The following is a 26,511-nucleotide window of genomic DNA, read 5'->3' as shown; positions in this document are numbered from 1 at the left end:
CACCTTTACTCCAGTTCCCAACAAGTTCCTCATCTCCATCTGAGACCACCTCAACCTGGATTTCATTGTCACTATCAGTATCAGCATTTTGGGCAAAGCCATTCAACTAGTCTCTAGGAAGTTCCAAACTTTTCCACATTTTCCTCTCTTCTTCTGAGCCCTCCAAACTGTTCCAGCCTCTGTGTGTTACCTAGTTACAAAGTCACTTCCACATTTTTGGGTATCTTTTCAGCAGCGCCCACTCTACTGGTACCAATTTGCTATATTAATCCATTTTTATGCTACTGATAAAGACATACCTGATACTGGGCAATTTAAAAAAGAATGAGGTTTAGTGGACTTACATTTCCATGTGGCTGAGGAGGCCTCACAATTATGGCAGAAGATGAAAGGCATGTCTACATGGTGGCAGACAAGAGAAGAAAAACTTGTGCAGGGAAACTCTCCTTTTTAAAACCATCAGATCTCGTCAGAGTTATTCACTATCATGAGAACAGCACGGGAAAGACCTGCCCCCATGATTCAGTTACCTCCCACCGGATCCCTCCCACAACATGTGGGAATTCAGGATGAGATTTGGGTGGGGACACAGCCAAACCATATCACTGGCTCTGATAGTTAACTGGAGAAATGCTGTTTTAACTGTTAAAAGACAAAGATTCCTGATATCTAAGCTGTTTTGAAGTATATAGCCTAACATAGTGATACTATAATAGTTCGTTAATGAATAAACGTAGTGATTAAATTACATTTACTAAATTAATCTTATGACACAAATATTATTTTTGAATCCCCGAAATAAAACTAATACCTAAAACAAAAATTATAGTCGATGCTTACTTTAGCCAATCTTTTAGTTTCCTCATCTGTAAAAGGGCATAATAATAGTGCCCACTTTATTCAGTGGTTGTGAGGATAAAGCACAATAATCCATGTAAATTTCTTAGGGAGAAATTTACTACTCTGACTAATAAATATATGAATTCTTTGTCCACTTGAGTGTAGGAAACAAGCTAAGTGGTTGCACTTTAAGTTAATGACCACAGACTTCAAGTGGGCCCTCGATGCCCACAACATTTCTCTAGTCTTTTCATGCTCCGCTCTCTCAATTTCTTTTTTTTTTTTTTTTTTTTTTTTTTTGAGACAAGGTGTTGCTGTGTCACCCAGGCCAGACTGCAGTGGTACCATCATGGCTCACTGCAGCCTTGGCCTCCTAAGGGTCAATCAGTCCTCCCACCTCAGCTTCCTGAGTAGCTAGGACTACAGGTGTACACCACTACACCTGGCTAATTTTTGTATTATTTGTAGAGACAGGATTTCTCCACGTTGCTCAGGCTTGGTCTTGAACTCCTGAGCTCTAGCTCTCTGCCTGCGTTGGCCTCAAAAGTGTTGAGATTACAGGCATGAGGCACCATCCCCTGGCCCATGCTCTTGTCTATTTGATGTCAGTTTTATAACTTTTGTCTCTTCACACCTCTAACACATTCTATTCTATCCTCACTCTCAGTTGACAACCTTGCTGCTAAGTCACTGAGAAGATAATGGCTCTCACGAGCCCCCACCACATTTACCCACCAGCCAACATCTGTCTTCATGCATTGTCCTCCCCCTCCTCTCCTGCTAACTAGAGAGGAACTCTCCTTGCTCCTATAGAAAGCCAGCTCCTCTGTTTTCTTGCTCATGCCACACCAGCAATTCTGCCCTCTCCTGCATCATCAAGTTCTCTCTGTTGGAGTATCCCCATCAACATGAATGCTGTAATGTACCCCGTATGTATAAGCAGACTAAGGACCCCCAAAAGATATCCCTGTCCTAATTCCCAGAACCTGTGATTGTGTTAGGTTACACAGCAGAGGAGAATCAAGGGAGAAGATGGAATGAGGTTAATAATGAGCTGATCTTAAAATACAGAGATTATCCTGTACTATCTGGGTATACCCAGCGTTGCCACAAGAGGTCTTGGAAGAAGAGGGAGGCAGAAGAAGACTGTTAGAGAAAGATGTGACTGTGGAAGAAGGGTCAAAGAGATACAATGTTGCTGGCCTTAAAGATGGAAGAAGGGGTCAGGAGCCAGGGAATGCAGGAAGCCTCTAGAAGCTGAAACAGGCTAGGAAACTGATTCTCCCCTAGAGCCTCAGGAAAGGAACACAGTCTCCCTGACAGCTTAATTTTAGCCTGGTGAGATCCACATTGGACTTCCAACCTACAAGATTGTAAGATGACTAAGTTGTGTTGTTTTAAGCCACTAAATTTGTGGTAATTTGTTACAGCAGCAATAAAAAACTAATGTACCGTATCACAAACAAACAACAAAAACTCGCTTCAGCTGTTGTCCTATTTTCTTGCTCCCTTATAGAAAACCCTTTAAATAAGTCACCAAGTCACCTGTACTCACTGGTTCTCGATGCCCCCACCCCCCCACCAATTTAGTAAAATGTACATAACATGAAATTTCCCATCTTCACCATGTTTATTGTATAGCTCAGTGCAGGGGTCCCCAACACCCCCTGCCTCCCCCCTCCCCCAGGTCGGAGGGAGTGATGCTTTGTCTGTACTTACAACTGCTCCCCATCGCTCACATTACTGCGTGAGCTCTGTCTGCTGTCAGATCGGCAGTGGCTTTAGATTCTCTTAGGAGCATGAGCCCTATTGTGAACTGTGCATTGCGAGGAATCTAGGTCATGTTCTCCTTTTGAGAATCTAATGCCTGATGATCTGTCACTGTCTCCCATCACCCCTGAGATGGGACCGTCCAGTTGTAGGAGAACAAGCCCAGGGCTCCCACTGATTCTACATTATGGTGAGTTGTATATGTATTTCATTATATATTACAATGTAATAATAACAGAAATAAGATGCACTATAAATGTAATGAGTTGAATCATTCTGAAATCATTGCCCCCCGACCGCCACCCCTGCCCCAGTCCCTGGAAATATCGTCTTCCTCGAAACTGATCCCTGGTGCCAAAAAGGTTGGGAACTAAAAGCTTAGTGGATTAAATATATTTGTAGTGTTATGCATCACCACCATCCAGCTCCATAACTCTTTGCATCTTGTAAAACTGAAATTCTATGACCATTAAACAATAACTCCCCATTCCTCCCTTCCCCCAGTAACCACCATTCTACTTTCTGTCTAGAATTCTGGCCACTCTAAGTATTTCATGTAAGTTATGGAATCATAAGAGTATTTGTCTTTTTGTGACTGGCTTATTTCACTTAGCATAATGTTCTTGAGGTTCACCGATGTTGTAACATGTCAGAATGTATTTCCTTTTTTTTTTTTTTTTTTTTTTTTGAGACGGAGTCTTGCACTGTTGCCCAGGCTGGAGTGCAGTGGTGTGATCTCGGCTCACTGCAAGCTCCACCTCCCGGGTTCACGCCATTCTCCTGCCTCAGCCTCCCAAGTAGCTGGGATTCCAGGTGCCCGCCACCACGCCCGGCTAATTTTTGTATTTTTAGTAGAGACTGGGTTTCACCTTGTTAGCCAGGATGGTCTTGATCTCCTGACCTCGTGATCCACCTGCCTCAGCCTCCCACCGTGCTGGGATTACAGGCGTGAGCCACCACACCCGGCCATGTCTTTCCTTTTTAAGGCTGAATGATATTCCACGATATGTATACACCACATTTTCCTTATCTGTTCATTTGTTGATGGACACTTGGGTTGCTTCTACATTTTAGCTATTGTGAGTAGTGCTGCTATGAACATGGGTATACAAACCCAATTCTCTCTTTATTTTAGTTTTTACTTTTTTCTTTCTCAGTGATCCTTTTCTGACCAATTATCTCTTGAATCTGCTATAATAAATCTTTTTTTTCTGACCACTCCATCAAATGTGTGCTCGTCAAGGTCACCAGTGACCTCTACATCCTCATAGCCAATTCACAGTTCTCAAATAGTATTAGAAAAGGTGCTCACTCCCTCACCTTTGAAATACCTTCTTCTCTGGCTTCCAGGATGCCACACTGTCCTGGTTTCTGCCTTCATTTGTGGTTACTCTTCAGTCTCCTTTGCCAATTCCTCCTAATTTCGCTAATCACATGGAGTAGCCTAGGATTCAGTGCTTGGATCTCTTCTCTTTTCTGTCAGCCGTCCTTTTGAGCTGACCTCATCCACTCTCATAGCTTTAAATACCACTTATACACCGATCACCAAGTGTGTATCTCTAGCCAAGACCTGTGACCTTTACTCCAGACTCACATATCTAACCTCTCACTTGACAGCTCCATGAGGATGTCTGTTGGGCATGTAAACCTTCACACTCCACAAATGATCTAATCTTACCTCCAAAACCTGCTCATCCTGTTTGTCTTCTCCATCCTTTAAGTTGCTCAGGCCGAAAACTTTGACTCACCTTTGCCACCTCTTTTTCTTTCCTGCCCCTCACTCAACTTTTCAGTCAATTCTGGTAGGATTTTCTGTCTTCTTTGTTCATAGATGTATCTCCATGGCCTAAAACCATAATTAGCACAAGCCTATTAGCAAAGTCCTTCAAAATATATCCAGAATTTTATTAAGTCTCACCACTTCTACTGCCACTATCCCAGTGCAAGTCATTTTCATCTCAAGCCTGGACTTTTGTTAAAGCCTCCTAAAGAGGTCTAAGTAGTTTTCTTACTTCCTTTTCTTCCTATAGTCTGTTCTCCACATAGCAGATAGAGTAATCCTTTAACTATAAACTAGAGCACATCATTGTTCTGCCTGACACCCTCCATGGTGAAGTGAAGTGTCCTACCACCTCTACTTACGTGACTATGCTGAGTGAAGTGTCCTACTTCACTCAGAGTAAAAGCCCAGTGCTTTACCATGGCCTGCAAGGCCCAATAACTCAGGTTCTGGGAACTTCCCCACCCTCTTCTCCTACTTCCTGCCCTCCCCAGTCTGCTCAGCCATATTGACATCCTAAATGTTTCTTGAACAAGTCACATAACTTTCCACCTCAAGACCTTTGCATTTGATGTTCCTGATTTCAATGCTCTTTCTTCAGATTCTTCACTACTCATGCCCTCAACTCTTTCGCATCTTCAAGAAGATACTACCATCTCAGTAAAGCCTTCTCTGGTCATTCCATTTTAAGTCTCCATCACCCAGCTTCCACCCACAGCGTTCCCCTCTCTCGGTTTATTTTTTCCATTGCACTTATTACTTCCAACACACCAGGCACTTTACTCATTTTGTTTACCATCTGTCTCCCCTACTAAGTTCCATGAAGAGGATCTTTTGGCTGCTTTGTTTACTAAAGTATCCCAAGGTCCAGAAGAGTAGTTGGCACATTATAGGCATTCAATGTATAAAGATGCATATTTGAATGAATGAATTGCTAGAAGGCAGAATATAAAGGGAAAATTTAGAAACATGAGGCCAACAAGGGAAGCAGGGACTGTGTCCTCAGTGACTTCTAAGCCATGTTTCAAAGGTCAGTGGGATGCCATGCATACATTTTAAGTATGGGATTAGTATGTTCAGAATCGTATTATTTAAAAAGCACTCTAGTAATAGTATGGAGGATTAGCAGAGGGTAAGTCTGGGAGAAGCTCAAGATTTCTGACAGATGGTAAGGCCACTCACTGAAGTAAGGAGGAGAAATAGTTTGGAGGGCAGAGTGTGGTAATGGTAGGAAATGACAGTTATCATTTGGGACATTTTGAGGTAATGGATTAGAAGTACTGAGGCCTTAACCCAAACACAGTACAAAGAGACAAAAAGAAAAAAATGTAGAAGTGCTGTCAAGAATCATGGAGGATGTATTGAGATGACATGGTATAAATTTGTGTATAGGAAAGCCAGAACAAGATAAAGTGAGAATGATGGAAAAAACAATATCAAAAGTATGTCGGGCCAGGCGCAGTGGCTTACACCTGTAATCCCAGTACTTTGGGAGGCTGAGGAGGGAGAACTGCTTGAGGCCAGGAGTTCGAGACCAGCCTGGGCAATCCAGCGTGAACCCCCATCTCTAAAAAAAAAAAAAATTTAAAGAGATAATGACAGAGTTTTCTGAAACTGAAAGAGAGACCAAATTTTTCATTCAAATGGAGAGTGTACTCTGACTATCAAGCAGGAAAAATAAAATATATAAAATCTGTAGTAAGTTCTATCACAATGAAGCTGCAGAACATGCAGGGTAAAAGGGAAATGGTAAAAGCTGCCAGAAAAAAAGGGAGTGTCTTCAATGGAACAATAATTAGGCTGGCAGCCTGCTTTCCTGTAGCAACCGTGCAAGCTGAAGGTGGCACAGCAATAGCTTCAAAATGCTGTGAGAATCGCCGCCCACTCCTCACTGTGTGTGGGCTGGGTGTGGCACGCTGGCAACTCTCCCCAAACGACTCTGGATGCTGGTGTCCCTAGAATCTCTTGGGTCTAAAGATTGATCTTCTTACCTCCTATAATTCCTGAGGTGGATAATTAACTAGGGGGTCACAAAATTAATTCCACAATCTTGTAACATGTCCTGTATAGATGTTTTGACAATGAACGTTTCCAGCTTTTGGGACAGCTCCCACAATTCTAAAATAATGGGAATGTCATGCTTAACATCCTAGTACGGTGAACAATGTTACATAATTTGGGATTTTCCTCTACTGTTTCCTGTATGTTTGACTTGCTTCCCAAACTGGCTTGTAAACATATATTACTTTTACATTAGCTAAGTAGAAGTTTTTCAATGTATACTTTTAACAATAATAATAAACATTATATTCTTCTTCTTCTTCTTTATTGAGCACGTCCTATGAGCCAAGCTCTCTGCAAAGTGTTTTATTCACATTATCTCTCATTAACATTAGCTGCAAGGTAATGACTGTCACCTCCATTTTACAGATGAGTGAGCTGAAGCTTAGCAAGGTTAGTGACCTGCCCAGGGTCATATTCTGGGTAAGAGGAAAAGGTAGGAATGTGACGCATGTCTGTATAACTTCAAAGCCTGACCTTTCAGCCTCTGTGCTATATTGATCTGTGAAACATACTAACTATTGATAAGAATGACTGTGTTAATAATTTGGAGTGGGAATATTTACTTGAAATGTTGACTTTTTTGTTGTTATTCTTCCCGGAAAAAGAGTCTGTATGGTCTCTTGCAGAATTTCCAGCAAGGCCTAATTCCACTGAAATCAGTGCCTCTACCAGCCACCTGTAGATGTATTATGGACTTTGATTGAGTTCTTCTTTCCTCTGGAGAAGGAATGGTAGATGAATCCGTGGACAGTTTCCATTCATATGACTTGTCAGCATTGAACACATAACACCTCTTTTTGCATTACCTCACAGAGTGTTGATTCAGTAAAGCATTAAAGCTGTGGGCTGGCAGTGCTACCCAGTAATCCCTGAAGGGCCAGAGAGCCATAGGTTAAGTTTGGAGGGGCTTTACCAGGGTCTATTATTCAGTGTCCTGCCATGTGCTACACAGTTCATTATTTGCTTGAGGAAAAAGAGCAAGCCCTGATAGTAAGCGGGTAAGGGGACATGCTTCCCAAGAGTAACTTACTCTGTTTGTACTCTCAATACCTTGCAGAGTGCTAGCCATGTCATGTGTGCTTAGTAAAACCTCAGTTAAATCTATAAACTTTAAGAACTTTGGAACAAAAGTAGTAGAAAAAGTAAGGGAGTTTTAGCAAGTGGGTAAATGATGAAAGTAATCCTGTGTTGAAACTCAACCAGATGAATGTTGTTACCAAACTTCTGTACGGTCCACTAGGTCCAAAAATAAATTTTTGTGGTACATAGGTAGTAGAAGTGGCCAGATTAGCCATAGACAGATCTTGTTTACATATAAAGGCACAATAAAAACTATTGTCCAAGGCAGGGGAGAACAATGCATAAAATCTTTAATATATCTATACTAGTTCTTACAGTAATTATTTCTATTATATGCTCTTTCCATTATAAAATGCTCATTAGGGTGCATGCCTTAGCATGACTTTAAAACACTACAAAGGAACAAAATTTCAAACCTCCAAATCAGATTGTACTACGTTTAAAAATAGGAAAATTGGCCAAGGAATGAAAAATATTAATAGAAATAAATTTAAAACTGCAGTGCTCAACACATGATTTTCCAATGGTGAAACATATTTATGTGAAATACAGTTGGAAAATAGATTATTAAAACTGAAAAATATAAACATATAATTAATTTCTTATAGCATATATCACAACTGCAGGTGAATTATAGGTAAGCATGGAACATAAAGCATAATAAGTTGAATAGAATTGTATAAGTATCCTTGTTGGGAAGAAGAGTAGACATTTTTAAAAATGGCTTTAACTAATGTATTATTAGAACACAATAAACTACACATATTTAAACTGTACCAAGTGACAAATTTTAATACATGTATACACTTGTGAAACCATCATCGCAATCAAGATAGTAACATACCCATCACCCCAGAGTGCTCTCGGGCTCCACTGTGACCCATTGCTCCCAAGTCTTCCCACCTGTCCCCTCTCCCAGACCCACACAACCACTGATCTGCTTTCTGTTACTATCATTTGCATGAATTTAAGTTTTTGACTAGTAAAGTGGTTATTGATTATATGACGGATGGTTCTACTTTTTTTTTTTTCCATGATGGAGTCTTACTCTGTTGCCCAGGCTGGAGTACAAGGGCACCATCTCGGCTCACTGCAAGCTCCGCCTCCAGGATTCAAGCAATTCTTGTGCCTCAGCCTCTCGAGTAGCTGGGATTACAGGAGTGTGCCACAACACCCCGCTAATTTTTGTATTTTTAGTTGAGACGGGGTTTTACCATGTTGGCCAGGCTGGTCTTGAACTCCTGACCTTAGGTGATCCGCCAGCCTCAGCCTCCCAAAGTGCTGGGATTACAGGTGTGAGTCGCTGCTCCTGGCCGGGTTCTACTTTTAAAAATTCAAAATATAATTAAAAAAAGCAAGGAAATAACTGAAATGGAAACTTTTTGTGGTAAATGACAAGTAAAAGCTTAATATCTACACTAGCAAACATTTAATAGAAAGAATATTTTATTTTGGCTTGTTTGATTGCAAGGAACAGGGACAGTCCAATTAACTAAAAAAAAAAAAAAAAAAAAAGGATGCGGCTGGGCGCAGTGGCTCATGCCTGTAATCCCAGCACTTTGGGAGGCCGAGGCTGGCAGATCACGAGGTCAAGAAATCGAGACCATCCTGGCCAACATGGTGAAACCCCGTCTCTACTAAAAATACAAAAATTAGCTGGGCGTGGTGGCACGCACCTGTAGTTAATTCCAGCTACTGGGGAGGCTGAGGCAGGAGAATTGCTTGAACCCGGGAGGCAGAGGTTGTAGCGAGCCAAGATCGCGCCATTGCACACCAGCCTGGGCAGCAAGAGTGAAATTCCGTCTAAAAAAAAAAAAAAAAAAAAAAAGGATGCATATTTTAGGGATACACATGACTGGATTACTGCTGAAAACAGAGGTAGTTTGAAGGCTTGGCTCTTCAGGTTTTCTCTCAAGGGTTTCATGGGCCAAATGTTTGTTCTCCAGTTGCACCTCTGCTTCTTTAAGCCCATTTGTTTTGTTTGCTCCCTGCCACCCATCTTTGCTAACTTTAGTTTGCGGTCCCTCATAATTTCAGCATGCTGTGGCTCATCTGATTCCAAATACACCCGTGGCATACCTTGATTCAGCCTCTTTGACTTTCGTTCCTTCTATTAAGTGTATTGACACTCAGTCTTTTCAAATTCAAATTCTTACGGGAGGAGTGTGATTGGCTTGGCTCGCCTTTTTGGCCCAGGCCATTCACTGTTACCTTTAGATCAGAAATGACCCATCACCTGGGATCAAAAAGCAAGGTCACCTAGTTCTAAACATCAGCAGGGCAGCTTTCCTCAGGAAGGGGTATGAGTAGTGCAGGCATTGAGTGCTTTCCTGTCTAGCAAAGATAATGGTGCTTGAGAGCCAGCTGGAACTGGGTTCAAATCCCAGCTCTATTATTTAGTAGCTGTGTCACTTTGGGGTACTTGCCTAACCTCTCTGAGCCTTGGTTTTTTTGTTACTGTTGGAAGGTGTCCAAGTTCTTGGCATCATGAACAAAGAATTGGACAAAATGCACAAACAAAGCAAGGACAGAATGATGCAACAAAAGCAGAGATTTATTGAAAATGAAAGTATACTCCATATGGTGGGAGCGGCCCAAGTAAGTGGCTCAAGAGCCCAGTTACGGAATTTTCCGGGGTTTAAATACCCTCTAGAAGTTCCCCATTGGTTACTTGGTGTACACCCTAGGTAAAGGAAGTAGTGGCCTGAGATCAGTCTGATTGATTGCAGGAGAGGGCCAATCAGAGGCTGAAGCAAGGTTACAAAGTTACACCCTATGCAAAGGTCTGATTGGTTGCAGAAAGTGACCAATCAGAGGCTGAAGTGAAGTTACAAAGTTATACTACTATGCAAATGAAAACTTGGCCGGCAACCAGCCTGATTGTCTCCCAGAGGGGACAAATCAGAGGCACTTTCAATTTTTCATCTGTCACTCAGAAAACGGGAGGTTGCAAATGTATTAGCCTCTGGTCCTTTCGTTACCTGGGCATGGAAAGTTGGGGTTTTCCTTGTGATTTAGTTCTGGGAAGTCAGCATGAATTCGGCCTTAGGTTCCCTGCCTCCAGACCCTATTCTCCTGCCTCATTTTCATTTTAGCTTGGGAATAATAACTGCCTTGAAGAGATTTTGTAACAAATATATAAAATAATATCTGTAAAGCACTGGTATAGTATCTAGCACACAATAGGTCTCAAATAATGGTAGCTATTTTATTATCACATTAACAGATTAATAATGATCTCAGGAAAAAGATACCTCACAGAAGAGGAAAGCCAAATAGTGGGATAACATTTAAGGACATGCTCAGCCTCACAAATAATTTTTTAAACGCATTTGAGGATAGCTATGAGACATATCTCACTTCTTTTTTTTTTTTTTTTTTTTTTTGAGATGGAGTTTCACTCTTGTTGCCTAGGATGGAGTGCAATGGCGCAATCTCGGCTCACTGCAACCTCCGCCTCCTGGGTTCAACTGATTCTCCATTCTCCTGCTTCATCCTCCTGAGTAGCTGGGATTACAGGCATGCACCACCACGCCTGGCTAATTTTGTATTTTTAATAGAGACAAGTTTTCTCCATGTTGGTCAGGCTGGTCTTGAACTCTCGACCTCAGGTGATCCGCATGCCTTGACCTCCCAAAGTGCTGGGATTACAGGCGTGAGCCACCGCGCCCGGCCACATCTCACTACTGTTAAACTTGCAAAAATAAATTAAAATTAACCATTCCAATATTGATGGGGCAATGAGGAAAGAGTACATTCATATTTGGTTGATGACATTATACATTAGCCTAATTATTCCAAATAGCAATCTCATAAAACATACCCTCCAATTCATAGTACCTTCTGGGCAAATACTTCCCAAGGAGGTAGTTAAAAAGGAATACTTCTATTTGTGCAAAATATTTATAGCTTTCTTTTTAATTCAGGCTTTTATCCTTTTCGAACTGAAAGAGACCTAAGAGGTTTTTTTTTTTTTTCTCTTGGGTTGCATGTTAGAATCATTTAGGAGCTTTTAAAAAATACTGATGTTCATGTCTCATGCCAGAGATATGGAGTTAATTGTCCTAGAATATGGCCTAGGCCTGAGTACAGTTTCAAAGCTCCTCAGGTGATACTAATGTATAGCCAGGAAGGAGAACCACTCTTCCAATCCCACTCTATTGGGGGAACTATGAATAAACAAGAGCCCGAGAGGCTAAAAAAGGCCTCTCAAAAGAAGTCACAGAGAGGTGATAAAAGAGCTGGGTTGAAACTAAAGATGCTCCAAATGCCTGCTTCCAGCTTCTAGTCCTGGTGAATGACTGGAAATTTCCAGGTGCTCAACACTTAGAGACCAGGTAACAAATTATAGCAGAGCAATACAACACATTCATTCATTGTTATTGAAAGGACAACTGCGGACAGGGTAGGACATTGGTGAGAACCAAGTGCAATACTGGTGCATCCAGTATCCAGATGAAACTCAAAAACATCTTGCCAAGTGAAAGAAACCAGACACAAATGACTACATATGGTAGGATTCCATTTGTGTGAAATTTCTAGAAAAAGCTGAACTGTAGAGACAGAGGTCAGTGGTGGCCTCGGTCACGCGCGGGACCCAGGATTAACTGCAGACAAGCCTGAGGAAACTTTTCTGGGTGATGGAAGTGTTTTAAAACTGGATTTTGGTGATGGTTGCACAATGTAAAAATTGACTAAAACTCCCTGAACTTTACTCTTAAAATGGATTAATTTATGGTGTGTCAATTTTATTGCTATAAACTGTTAAAAGGAAATTCGAAATGAATTGAAACTGAAAACTCAGATCTGCTGATCTTTATTCTGGTTCTTACTTTTAAAGGAAAAAAAAAACCATATGATTTTTGTAAAAGTAACACACAGTCATTGTCGGGAGACAGTTCTCCGCGGGCTTCTTGTGTTTCGGCACATGTTGCAAGCGAAGATCTGGCTCTCCGTTGTTCCAGCCTGTTTCTGCAGGACTGTTCATATAGTGAACAGCCTTTGAAGACAGAGTAAGTGTCTCCAGCCACAGCAAAAGGCAGACACGCTTACTATCCAGTGTAACAAGAATATCTCCCTCTGAAGCAAAGGGCAGGTATGCTGAATGCTCATGATGAAATATTCAGGTGCTCTAAAGTCAAGATTCTTCTTCTGTAATGCAGCCCACTGTGACTGCAGGTGTCACCTGGTCTTCATCACGTTGTCCTTTGGGAACATGGGGATTGGGGGCTGGCAAACCAGTGAAGAATATGCTGACACTTGGCCACTGCTCTTGCTGTCAGGAGTAAAGCTCTTTGTCTTCTTGTGTCTTCTGTCAACACTCATGAAACTGTAGCAGGATCACTTTTTAGTTTGCAAGTAGGGTAAAATCTCTGACTCCTGCGTTCCTTTTTTTAAAAAATTGTGGTAAAATATACACAACATTAAATTTACCATTTTAGCCATTTTAGGGATACAGTTCAGTGGCAGTAAGTACATTTACACTGTTGTATAACTATCGCCATTACACATCTCTACAGCTTTTTAAAAATTAATTAATTTTTTTTTGAGATGGAGTCTCGTACGGCCCCCTGGCCTAGAGTGCAGTGGCTCGATGGCTCACTGCAACCTCCGCCTGCTGGGTTCAAGCGATTCTCCTGCCTCAGCCTCCCAAGTAGCTGGGATTACAGGTGCCTGCCACCATACCCAGCTAATTTTTTTGTATTTTTAGTAAAAGCAGGGTTTCACCATGTTGGCCAGGCTGGTCTCAAACTCCTGACCTTGTGACTCGCCCACCTCGGTCTCCCAAAGTGTTGGGATTACAGGTGTGAGCCACCGCGCCCGGCTCACATTGCTCTAGAGCTTTTTAATCATCCCATGTTGAAACTCTACCCATTAAGCTATACTCCTCATTACCCCCTTTCCCCAGCCCCTGGCAACCACTGTTCTGCTTTCTCTATAAACTCGACTACTCTAGGTACCTCATATAAGTGGAATCATACACTATTTGTCCTTGTGTGACTGGCTTATTTCACTTTGCATAATGTCTTCAGGGTTCATCCATGTTGTAGTGTGTGTCAGGATTTCACTCCTTTTTAAGGCTGAATAATATTCCATTGTATGTATATACCTTCACAGTTCTTGATGCTAATTATATCTTAAAATCAAGTAAAAAAAATACAAACAAGAAAGTTAAAAAAAAACAAAAGAAAGAGAAAGCATCTCATCATTTGGAAGTCATTATCATACCAGATATCTATTTATGAATAGACAGAAAAACAGGTAGAGACAAAAAATGTTAGAAAATGGGCTTTGGGGTCTTGCTTTCTAATACTCACCTCCAGTTCCCTGGCCTGGACTATGCGTGCAGGCAGCTTTCTGGCTTAGGGGCTTGTCCCTCTCCCAGAATCTACCCACCAGCTCCTGAGCCTCACACGCAGGTTAAGAGGGGCTCACAGCAGTTGTCCTCCCCGCAGCTGAACAGCTGATCCCTGGCCACACTGACTCCTAGCCCTTGTTTTTTCCCATCTCTAAGGAGTCCCTATGTCCTGAGGAGTTGTCCTTTGCCACATTTCCCAGTTTTCCTCATTCAGTAATTCTTTATTAAATGCCTGTTGTGGGTCAGGAGCTTTGCTGGGTACTGGGAGCACCTAGCCATAGAGATCCCGCTCCTACCAGTGAGTACTCATTGTGCAGAGACAGAAAAGTAAACACGTAAATACCACACGAAAAACTTCCCATCCTAGTGGAAGTAGGGAAGTCTCCCGGAAGGAGATGGCACGGGGTGTTGAAGGAGCGGGGTGAAGGAAGTGAGGAAGTGTGCGCGTGTTGGCAGGGCTGAGAGGAGCACCAGGTGTGAGGGAACCGGGGTGCTGGAGTCCTGGAGTTTGAGGGCTTGCAAGGAATTACCCGTGGTTGAAACTCAGGAGGCAGGCAGGGGAATGGAGAGGGGCGGAGCTGGAGAATTATGGAGGCTCATAGGGTGAAGATGCCCTCGTGCCATGCTGAGGAGGCCACCTGGGGAAGAATAGGCAGTGAGGAGCCATTGGAAGGTTTGAAGCAGAAGAGGACATAGTGAGCTCTGTCTGAATGCATTCTCCCTTTGTCATAGCGTCAGCTCACATTCTGTCCTCAATCCCAGTGCCTGGCTTACTGCAGCACTTCTACTCTCCAACCCGTGCACCACTCATGCTGACGAATGAATGGAACACAATGTTCCTTAGGTCTTCAGCAAATGCCACATAATGTATGCATTAGGGTTACAAATGAACAGATTCATGAAATGGAATTTTGATTCTCCAGTAGTTTGGTTCTAGTTCTAGTTGCGAATGCCATTATGTGAAAATACTGATGGGGCCATCTCTCTTCTCGAAGTGCAAGATTTTGAAATTGTGTCATATTTCTGGAAATTCAAACACATCATTTACTGACAATCACTGGTGAATGATGAAAGGGCAATACTTCAGTCTAAGTCAACCCAATTCCTGACAGACCACAGGAAAGCAAAAAGATTAATCAGCCTTGGCTGCCTGACCTGTTCTTTGTCCTCAGCCATAATACAGCATGCAGACAATTCTTCATTAACCAGAGAGGGGGAAGAAGGGGCGTGCTGGGAGGAGGGTGTGGATCAGCATAACCATGGTCAACTTTCCATGGCCTTGGGACATATTAAATGTGGCTAAGGCTCAGCTGGACTTTGGACATGTTCGGCATTTAAGACGCTGCCCATTCATACTGAGTCTGCCCTCCTTCACCTCCAAAAGGAGTAGTCTAGGAAGAGAGGTGCCAAGCCTTTGTTCTGGAGTCTGGGGCTCTGGAAGAGGCCAAGATCACTCCTCCCCCTCTGTATTGGGAGCTTCAACAGAGGCCACTTGCTACCCCCCTCCTTTGGCTTATAGGGAAGTAGTTTATCAGCTTCTATTCAATTATCCAACAATTCAAGGGGCAGGTGCACCTTAACAAATAAAGGGCTTCCCTCCCTTCTCCTGTGAACAGGGGAAGAAGGTTCAGATGGGCAAAATGAGCTTCTTTGATGCAGGAAGGAATTGAGAAGAGAGAGAAGTATGGGCGACTAATGAAGAATAAAAAGTAATCCCAGGCCTGGCACGGTGGCTCACGCCTGTAATCCCGGCACTTTGGGAGGCCAAGGCGGGCAGATCACGAGGTCAGGAGATCGAGACCATCCTGGCTAACACGGTGAAACTCTCTACTAAAAAAAAATACAAAAAATTAGTTGGGCGTGGTGGCAGGTGCCTGTAGTCCCAGCTACTCAGGAGGCTGAGGCAGGAGAACGGTGTGAACCCGGGAGGTGGAGCTTGCAGTGAGCTGAGATGGCGCCACTGCGCTCCAGCCTGGGTGAAAGAGCGAGACTCCGTCTCAAAATAAAATAAAATAAAATAAAATAATAATACTAATAATAGGCCGGGCACGGTGGCTCACGCCTGTAATCCCAGCACTTTGGGAGGCCGAGTTGGGTGGATCACGAGGTCAGCAGTTCAATACCAACCTGGCCAAGATGGTGAAACCCTGTCTCTACTAAAAACACACAAAAAATTAGCCGGGCATGGTGGTGGGCGCCTGCAATCCCAGCTATTTAGGAGGCTGAGGCAGAGAATTGCTTGAACCCAAGAGGCGGAGGTTGCAGTGAGCCGAGATTATGCCACTGCATTCCAGCCTGGGCGACAGAGTGAGACTCCATTTCAAAAATAATAATAATAATAATGATAATTCCATTTCCATAACCATGAGTGGAGCATTTCACAACAAATTATGTTTGTGCTTCCTAATGGCCTGGAGTCTGGTCTAGAGGACAGGGTAATAGGCAAGGATCTGACTAAGGCTCGGGCCCTATCCCACTTACCTGCCAGTTCTGCACCATGGCAGGCATGCCCTCTTCCAAGGCTGGGCTTTCAGCCCAGCACTTCTTCCCCTTTCCAAAACTGGGAAAGGAGCTCACAGGGGCCCCTCCCAGTCTGTGGATTCTGATGCAAGATGTCAACAGCATTGGCCTTAATTTTGCCATTGCCCAGATACACTCAACATTCAAACTAGATCTAATTTTATGTCGGGTGCAGTAGCTCATGCCTGTAATCCCAGAACTTTGGGAGGCTGAGGCAGGCAGATCACTTGAGGTCAGAAGTTCGAGGCCAGCCTGGCCAACATGGCGAAACCTACTAAAAATACAAAAATTAGCCGGGTGACAAGGCGGGCGCCTGTAGTCCCAGCTACTCGGGAGGCTGAAGCAGGAGAATCTCTTGAACCTGGGAGGTGGAGGTTGCAGTGAGCTGAGATCATGCCATTGCACTCCAGCCTGGGTGACACAGTGAGCCTGTGTCTCAAAAAAAAAAAAAAAAAATCTAATGTTAGATTTAGTTCACCTAGTTTAGATCTAGGTCATTTAATAACTAGATGAAATTTGGCTTCTGATAAGAGTCCTAGGCCCCACTCTCCAGCCACTCGCACCCTCACCGCTGGCTCTGCTTCCCTCCCTCTCCGCTACTCATTATACACAAAGACTTAAAAGAAACAATAACATATTGAAATACCTTTCTGGGTTATTTTCAGCATAGTAGGGATTAAAGTCATAAAATGACACTCTCAGGGAGGAGTATTTCAGATGTGAGCCAGCAGGTAGAAGCAGAGTTTTTGGATCAGGGATGATTTGTTTTATTCTTCCCACAAATTGCTCCACACAGAATGTTGCTAATCTGCTTATGAGCAAGGCAAGAATAGAATAGTTACTTTGTGGATTGATAGCACAGGTTATTAGAGCTGGAAAGCACCTTAGTGATCATCTAGCTCTAAGCCCTTTAGTTTACAGATGAGAAAATGGAGCTTCAGAGAGGTGAAATGATTTTTCAAAGTTACTCAGTAAACCACAGGACTAGATGCCAAATATGATACCTTTCTTATTTTAGTGTTGCCTATAAATTAGTCAACACTGAAGTAGGAAGGATACAGCAAATTTATGGCTTTCAAAAGAGCTCACTGAACAATTTATTTAAGCTTTTCCTTCCGTGGAAAACATCCGCATTGAAGAAAAAATGAACAAAAATAGGAGATATAAGTCCTCATAATGGTAGCTAATATTTAATGACTATTTGCTATATGCCAGGAAGTAATACTGTTTTACAATATCTTATTTGATTATCTTATGCATGATTATCATGAAAACATTTTATGAATTAAGAAATTGAGATTTACAGCCAGACATGGTGGCTCACACCTGTAATCCCAGCACTTTGGGAGGCCAAGGCAGGCAGATTGCTTGAACTCAGGAGTTCGAGACCATCCTGGCAACATGGTGAAACCCCATCTCTACAAAAGTACAAACATTAGCCAGGTGTTGTGGCATGTGCCTGTAGTCCCACCTACTCGGGAGGCTGAGGTGGGAGAATTGCTTGAGGCTGAGGAGGTCGAGGTTGCAGTGAGCCAAGATTGCACCACTGCATTCCAGCCTGAGCAACAGAGCGAGAGACCCTGTCTCAAAAAGAAAAAAAAAATTGAGATTTAGAGAGATTAATATCCTTAAAGTCACAACCAGAAGGTGACAGAGGATGGAACCCAGGACTGTTCCACACAGAGCATAGCCTCCTATATATGATACTATGCTGCCTCTCAACCATTTAACTGTGTGTGTATGCCTGTTTGTGTGTGTATGTGTGTATGTGCACACGTACACATTTATGTTGATAGAGAGCACCATGTGCCAATACTGTCCATTAGAAGGAAGAAATGTTACAGAAGAAGAGTTTCATTTATGTTTCTTATTAACAGACAATAATTTATTAGGTCAAAATGTACTGGCTACAAGTATCAATACATTTAAATATTTACTGAACTTTCATCCTTGTTAAAAATACAAAAATGAGAGAAGTGCACACACACTATAGAAAAACTAAAATATTATCATTGATTCATTGATACTCAAGATCCCTGTGAAAGCAAGAGTTTATTCCAAACAAATATACAGTAAGTTTAGACAAAAGAAGCATGAGCTAGACCCAGCAGAATCTCCTAAGTGATCTTTCTGCTGTGGCATCATCTAGATTCAGGTTTTTCTAACAGCAAATTTATCTGAATTACAACTAGCTACATAATAAATTACATATGGTGATGTACTGGATAATAAAACTAAAGAAGAAAAACTTGGGCTCATATGAATCAATTATTGTAACTTAGTTATGATTCCTTTATATATGTGGACTCTGGTCAATTACACTTACTCATGATACCCTTACAGATATGTGATTATCCTGAAAACTTAATGGAGTGGTTAGCCAGCTGTTAATTTCAAATTTCCCAGAAAATCATCTAATGTAAAACACTTTTTAAAAAGCATATAAGTTTATTTTTCCTCTTTTCTGCTTTGAGAAGATTTGGGGCAATTGACCAATGTTCTCTAGAGAAACAGCTCACCAGGAATCATCCTAATGGCTGGTGGATAAGACTTGAGAAGAATCACTGCATTCTGTATTGGATATTTAGAGAACAAATGGATGCTTGGGGAACATAACACTTGGAAAACTCGCCTATGGCTTCCAGATAGCTAAAATGTCCACATGCTTACTAATAGCAGAGGTATGTATATGAAGAAATTCCAGGTTGAATTTCACAGGTACCTGGATCAGAACTAGGTGGAACAGATTCTTTTACATACTTTGAGTAGCTCAGAAGCTAACCGTCTATTACAAGTGAAGACCCGTATTGCCATTTCAAAATGTCTAGTTTCTTACTATCAAAGTGCCACTGGAGGAGCCAGCAATACATGACTACAAGTACACGGGCTTTGGAATCAAATGTCTCTGAATGAAGTTGCGTTTCTGTCATCTACCCGCTGTGTGATCTTTGGCAAATGCCTTCCCTTCTGGAAGCTTTGCTTTCCTCAACGGGGTAATGAAGCTGTACCTTGCAAGGTATGATAAGTCAGTGGGATCATGTATATAAACTGCCTATCCCAGTGTCTGGCACTGGATAGGTCCTCAACAGTGTTAACTGTAGTTATCATCAAGAAAGTCATGATGAAGTATACTATAATATTGAGTCTGTTCAATATCTTGATAGAGACTGGGTGCAGTGGCTCACGCCTGTAATTCCAGCACTTTGTGAGACTGAGGCAGGTGGATTACTCGAGTCCAGGAGTTTGAGACCAGCCTGGGCAACATGGTGAAACTCCATTTCTACCAAGAGTTAAAAAAAAAAATTAGCCGAGTGTGATGGCATGCGCCTGTAGCTACTCGGGAGGCTGAGGTGGGAGGATTGCTTGAGCCTGGGAGGCAGAGGTTGCAGTGAGCCAAGACTGCACCACTGCACTCCAGCCTGGGCAACAGAGTGAGACCCTGTCTCAGAAAGAAAAACAATTTTGATAGACACAGGTGACCTTTATTCAGTTGATGTAATATCACTGTCAGAACATAAGGCCAGTAGATCAAAATACCAACCTGCTGCATACATGTAATCTAACAATGAGCTTTTATATTATTGGTATCAGTAATAACAGCTGATATTTACTGAGTCTATATTATGTGACTGTCACTAGGTCAAGTGCTCTGTCTGCAGTATCACATTTAATCACCACAGCAATCCTATAATTTGGATATGATTATCCCCATTTTATAGACAAAAAACCTGAAGCTTAGGAAGGAGAAATAAATTGCTGGAGATTACATGGCTACTAAGTGCTATCAATATAGTGGGATCTAGATCTGGTCTGAATCCACAACACAGGCTCTCACAACCGGGTTACACCTCCTCTTAATTGGTCACACCATTTAAAGAACAAAGAAAGAGAATCTCTTATTAGATGGACTGACCCTACTCTGAGTTAGGAAAGATAAAACACTGAGTTGCGTCTCAAAAGGCTTTAGTTAATGAACAGGAAATCACATATTCAGGCTTGAAGCTAAGACTTAACCTTGTAAATTTTCCTGAAGTGAGAGAAATAGTGACCGTGATGTCAGGCAAAAATCGCCACCACGTGTAACCCATTTCTTCCTTGTTTTGCCTTTAGTTAGCTTCAAGTTCTTTTTTCACATTGTATCTTTTAAATGTACCGTACGTGTGTTGTTAACAGCACACTCAGAATCATATCTTGGCATTAAAATTCCACGAAGTCCATTTTGAGAATCATATTACTACACCTATTTTTAGCTGTTAACACAAACCACTCTTTCCATTACACTTTTAAATTATCTACTGATAAAGTGACATTGAAAATAACTCTTGTTGCCAAATAAAAACCCTATATTTGGTTTAATCGGGCCAGACCCATTGACCGGCATTATGCAATTATATTACTAAGGCTGCTACCTGCCCATGCCCCTCTCCTCCTCCTGGTTTGGAACTACCCTCCCCATCTGCTGCTATATTTATCTGCCTTCTTGGCCATAAAAGGCTGGTTGTGTGGCCTGACATTCGACTGCCTGACCACATGCATTATTTTTGAACTGGCCCCCAGGGTCCTGTCTTTAGCCCTGCCTCTTAACATTGTCTTGGATTCAACCTAGGTGGAGTCTTCATTCTCTCATCCAGCTCCTCGGCCTCATCGGAACATTTCCACCACCATTACTCCTTTGGAAACTGGTAAGTGTGACACTGAGGCAGAAGAATGCACTTGATAGCTTATGAGCTTAGCAGCAGTGCAGTGTAAGTGCTTTCTTTCTGTCTTCTGAACTCAGCAGTTTTCTCAAAGAGATGTCAGAATAACAGAGAAATAGGAAAGTGAAGCTCCAGGGAGGGAAACCAGAACAGCCGGGTGCCAGTCGGGCTGGCACAGCTCTTCTCTCACATCACTGTATTCTTCTGAAATTAAGCTGCTGTTCCTGGAACTGTAAGGAGGTCATATCTGCCTCGGATTGAACTGTAAGCGTGTGTTTAATGCTATTTCCAAGTACGGTTTGGTTGAAATCTGAAATGGATGAGAGACAGGAGGCCCTGCATTTTCAATCCTGCATGTGCCATACAATGCTCCCTGGTTACAAATTAGACCGAAAGAAGGAAAATTAACTCTGAAGTCACTAGTTTATAATTCAGGGATCTTGCTGTGACGATGCAATGTGGATAAATGTGAGCGCGCACAATGATATGGCCTCAAATGGTTAAGTAATATTTCAGAGGCAACATAGAGCCCCACATAGTGATTTTTCTGGGAATCGTTTTCATCAGCTTCTGCCCTCTAATGCCTGCACAAAAGTATCATAAATTACAGCTATGGAATTTGTATTTCTTCCTAAATTCTCAAATTATTTTCAGAAAGAAAATTTAGGTCTTAAAGAAACAAAAGACACTAAAACCATCTTTCCTCCCAACGTACTCCAGCCGTCATGTGTTGGAGCTAATCCTGGCTTTAGTTAACTTCAAGGGCTTACTTGATGAAGAGGAGGTGGTTGTACCTTTGTTCCAGAGGTCAGGGCTGTGACAATCAGCAATGTGGGCTTCAAGTCAAACCCTGTTTACTTGTAACTTACTATCTATGTGAGAGGAATAGTAAGTATTATTAAAAATAAATGTATTTGGGAGAAATAGAAATAAAGAGAGTAAAAAATAGTATTGGGGCAAGATATTTAAAGATTTTATTTTGTGAAAATAACAGCATTTCAAGTCATCTGGGGAATGAATTTAGTTTATAACATAACAAGTTTCTTTATTATTTATTTGAAAAATCATTCAAATAACATGTGCCATGTTACAATGTAGTATCATAACAGAAACTTCTCTAATATCTTTATAACTGCCTAACGTAATTCTGTATTAACATTTTCTAACCCCTTTGTTTTATCAAAATTCATCTAGTAGTTATTAATTATACATGGTAATTATCCTCCATATTTTGTAACAGAAAATAGCCATCTATTTAAGGGTTGAAGCAAAGTTGCTTGCTAGTAGCTATTTTTTTCCCTTAGGAAATGCCCTGTAGACTGATATCTTCCATGAACCCTAAGATAAATATTTCTGGAGTGAAGTTTGCTCAGTTTTCTTCTCTGGGGAATACATGCTGACTTTTAAAATAGTTTAAATAAAAAGTAGTTTTAAACTTGACAAAGAATATGCTGAGTTTAGAAGGATTCATTCTTCATTTTGAATTTTTTTAAAAATGACATTTGGAGAAAACAGATCACTTTAAAACTAATTCTACAGCATTAAAACACTTGGGGGTGGAGCTTTTATAAAACTATTACTTCATCCAGGGTTGTCAACGTGGCTGATAGGCCTGCTTCAGTGGATAAACTATTCAAGAATGCTAAGGCCATGTGACATCTCCCCACCCTATGCTAAACAAACATACCTTTGACTTTTAGTAGAACTGCTAGCTCAAGTTCACAATGCCAGCTGTCACCCTGGGAATCGACTCTCTTACCTCTTTAAGTAGGGAGACTAGAAGCCTGCATGTTCCTTATAGAGCAAACAGGTTTTTTTGTTTGTTTTGTTTTGTTTTCTGGTTTGAGACTATACCTTTGCTTGAAATGTTTGTGAGATTTGAGAGAGCTTATATATAAGATTAGCATACTCCAGGGTTCAGTTCTAGGACTTTATTTTACTTATTTTATTTTATCTTAAATTTTTATAATAGAGACAAGGTCTCACCACGTTGCCCAGGCTGGTCTCAAACTCCTGGGCTCAGGAAATCCTCCTGCCTTGGCCTCTCAAAGTGCTGGAATTACAAGCATGAGCCACCATGCCTGTAATTTCCTTTTCTGTGTATAATGGTCCTCATCTGTTTTCTTTTAGGACTTTCTTTTCCGTGTACAATGGTTCTCACCTATTTTCTTGGCTTTCGATACCACCTATATGCTGTTGACTCCCAAATGTATATCTGCATCCTGGACCTCTCTCCTGCACTCCAGAGTCATGTATCCAGCTTCCCACTTAAAATGTCTCCTCTGGGAGGTCTAACAGGCATCTCAGATGTAGAGCATTGAAACCAATCTCCTGTTCTTCCACCCCAAACTGATACTTTCCCACATTCCTCCCCATCTCAGTTAATAGCAACTTGTCTTTCAATTGCTCAGGCAAAAACCTTGGAGTCATCTCTTTCTTTCACATCCTAATTCAGAACTTTCAGCAAATGCCATTGGTTCTAACTTCAAAAGCTGTGCAGAGCTTGACCACCTCTCACACTTTCGCTGCTACCCCTGTCACCTCTAGCCTGGACCATTGCAGTGGACTTTGTATTCTTTTGCCCGGGCTATCATAGCTAAGCGCCATGGACTGGGTGGCTTAAACAACAGAAACTTATTACCTTACAACTCTGGAGGCTGGAAGTCCAAGATCAAGGTGTCAGCTGGGTGGTTTCTTCTCAGGTCTCTTCTCGGCTCATGGATGGCTGTCTTCTCCCTGTGTCTCCACGTGGCCTTCCCTCTGTTATATACATATTTGGATCTTGGTTTTCTTTTCCTATAGAGACACCATCATATAGAATTACGGCCCATCCTAATGGCCTAATTTTAACTCAACTTCCTCTTTAAGGACCCTATCTCCAAATATGGTCACATGTTGAGGTACTGGAGGTTAGGGCTTCAACACAGGAATTTTGAGAGGATACAACTCAGCCCTTTCATAGGTCTTCTGGCTTTCACTCTCATCCCTCCACAGTCCATCTTCAGACATCGGCGAGAATGAGTCTCAGCTCAGAGTCTTCCAATGGCCTCTCAGCCCTTTCACAGTATTAGCTGAAGTCCTTACTGCTACCTACAGGACCCTACACTACTGGCCCTTCCACCAGGCACATAGCTCACCTCTTTGACATCATCTCCTATACCTCTCCCATCCCAGAACCCCTGCCAATCAGTGGTTCCTGGAGCACAATAGTCATGTTCATTCCTCAGTGCCTTTGCTCTGGTCTTCCTTCTGGAATACTCTTCCCCAGAAAGTCTCATGCTCAGATGTTACTGTCTAGAGAAGCCATCCCTGCTGAGGCTGTTGAAAATTGCATCCATCCCTCTTACCTGCTTTGTTTTTCTCTGGTTCTTGGCACATTAACCTATCTCATACTTGACTTACTTGTTTTCTCTATTGTCTTTCTCCTGCAGTAGACTGTACAGTTCTGTACAAGGTAATTAGAGCAGGCATTTTGTCTGTTTTGTTTACCACTGTATTTCTTTTTTGTTTTGTTTCATTGTGAGACAGAGTCTTTCTCTGTTGCCCAGTATGGAGTGCAGTGGCGCAACCTCGGCTCACTGCAAACTCCGCCTCTGAGTTCAAGTGATTCTCCTGCCTCAGCCACCGGAGTAGCTGGGACTACAGGTGCCCACCACCATGCCAGGCTAATTTTTGTATTTTTAGTAGAGATGGGGTTTCGCCATGTTGGCCGGGCTGGTCTTGAACTCCTGACCTCAAGTGATCCGCCTGCCTCGGCCTCCCAAAGTGCTGGGATTACAGGCGTGACCCACTGTGCCCGGCCTCACTACTGGATTTCATGGGCTGGATGGCGTCAGGCACACAGTAGGTGCTGCTAATTATTTGTTGAATGAACACCACATGACTCTCTATCCTTCCACATTCTCCCAAATGAAGTCCCAAATGAAGAATGAAATGGCAGAAAATTAGAAATATGTATTATGAAGAGTCTGAGGAAAGAGCACAATAGCCAGGGTAGAAAAACTTTGTTTTTCTAGGAAAACCTCCTAGATACAATTTTTTTTAAAAAAAGGTACAATGACAGGAGGGGCATATCTGGGCTATGAAGTGGAGAGTTTTTTGAATATCCAGTTATGTTAAACTTCATACCCTTTTTGGTTTACTCTTCGGAAAAGATAAGAATATTAATTTTTATTTTATTTTGTTTTTAGACAGTGTCTTGCTCTGTCACCCAAGCTGAGTGCAATGGTCAATCATAGCTCCCTGCAGCCTCGAAGTCTTGGGCTCAAGCAATCCTCCTGCCTCAGCCTCCGGAGTAGCTGGGACTACAGACACACACACCACACCCGGCTAATTTTTTCTTTTTGTAGAGATAGGGTCTCACTGTGTTGGCCAGGTTGATTTTGAGCTCCCGGCCTCGAGAGATCCTCGTTGGGATTTCAAGCATGAACCACCGCACCCAGCCAAGAGTATTGATTTTTACACATTGATTTAGATGACTTGGTCTATGGAATTTGTTCCTTAATAAGTCACTCAAAAAGTGTTGTTTTCCTTCAGGTGGCCCGGTTCCTTCAAGGGGCACAGGATGTCTTTGCCTTTTTATCAGAGGTGCCACCAGCACTATGATCTCAGCTACCGCAACAAGGACGTGCGCAGCACCGTGAGTCACTACCAGCGGGAGAAGAAACGCTCCGCCGTCTACACCCAGGGCTCCACGGCCTACAGCAGCCGCTCCTCCGCCGCGCACCGCCGGGAGTCCGAGGCCTTCCGTCGGGCGTCCGCCTCCTCCTCCCAGCAGCAGGCCTCGCAGCACGCCCTGAGCTCTGAAGTCAGTCGGAAGGCAGCCTCAGCCTACGATTATGGCTCCTCCCATGGGTATGTCGGACGCCCTCCTCCAACCTTCCAACCTCAGGAAGAGGCGTGTGCTCTGAGTAACCCTCCCAGTTACTTCTCGCTTTGTTTCGGTTCGGTTTTGGTTTTTTGAGACAGAGTTTCGCTCTTGTTGCCCAGGCTGGAGTGCAATGGCGTGATCTCGGCTCCCTGCAACCTCTGCTGCCTCCTGGGTTCAATCGATTCTCCTGCCTCCGCCTCCCGAGTAGCTGGGATTACAGGCGTGCACCACCACGCCCGGCTCATGTCGTGTTTTTAGTGGAGACAGGGTTTCACCATGTTGGCTAGGCTGGTTTTGAGCCCCTGACCTCAGGTGTTCCACCCGCCTGGGCCTCTCAAAGTGCTAGGATTACAGGCGTGAGCCACCGTGCCCAGCCTCTCCCAGTTACTTCTTAAATACGGCAGCCCTGCATTTCAACCAAGTGTGCAGACAGACCTTGTTTGGGAGACCCGGGACCCGTGCCTACCTATTTCCCTTTATTGTCTCTTTTAGCTTCACTAAGAGCCTGGTGTTCTCACGGGCGAGTCTTGCT

At 42.6% G+C, this 26,511-nt stretch overlaps 1 protein-coding gene across 7 annotated transcripts in view, besides 1 other annotated feature; it reads left to right on the top strand.

The window, feature by feature from the left end:
* The window catches only part of MYOM1 (myomesin 1), a 180,570-nt gene that overhangs the window by 6,480 nt on the left and 147,579 nt on the right, over positions 1 to 26,511 (top strand). For 4 of the 7 annotated variants that reach the window (XR_935071.3, XM_047437911.1, XM_017026062.2 and 1 more), the window contains exons 1-3: positions 18,895 to 19,093; positions 21,019 to 21,094; positions 25,646 to 25,963. Coding sequence is in view for 6 of the 7 variants with exons in the window: in XM_047437911.1 (XP_047293867.1) it covers positions 19,075 to 19,093; positions 21,019 to 21,094; positions 25,646 to 25,963 (413 nt within the window). In the remaining variant the exon portion in view is untranslated. Of the gene's footprint in view, positions 1 to 18,894; positions 19,094 to 20,928; positions 21,095 to 25,645; positions 25,964 to 26,511 lie in introns of those variants that run through there. The other 3 variants (NM_019856.2, NM_003803.4, XM_047437910.1) reach the window with 2 other exon arrangements.
* Positions 22,632 to 22,926: a silencer, noted in NCBI's record as "tiled region #2253; K562 Repressive DNase unmatched - State 5:Enh". NCBI's record gives its function as "represses a minimal TATA promoter and a strong SV40 promoter by Sharpr-MPRA in K562 cells {active_cell/tissue: K562}" and the evidence as "EXISTENCE:reporter gene assay evidence [ECO:0000049][PMID:27701403]".

The sequence above is a fragment of the Homo sapiens genome, chromosome 18 (genome assembly GCF_000001405.40).
Source record: "Homo sapiens chromosome 18, GRCh38.p14 Primary Assembly".
NCBI classification, from domain to species: Eukaryota; Metazoa; Chordata; class Mammalia; order Primates; family Hominidae; genus Homo; species Homo sapiens.
The sequence above is the reverse complement of the archived record's forward strand: the minus strand, read 5'-3'. Positions and strand labels throughout refer to the sequence as shown.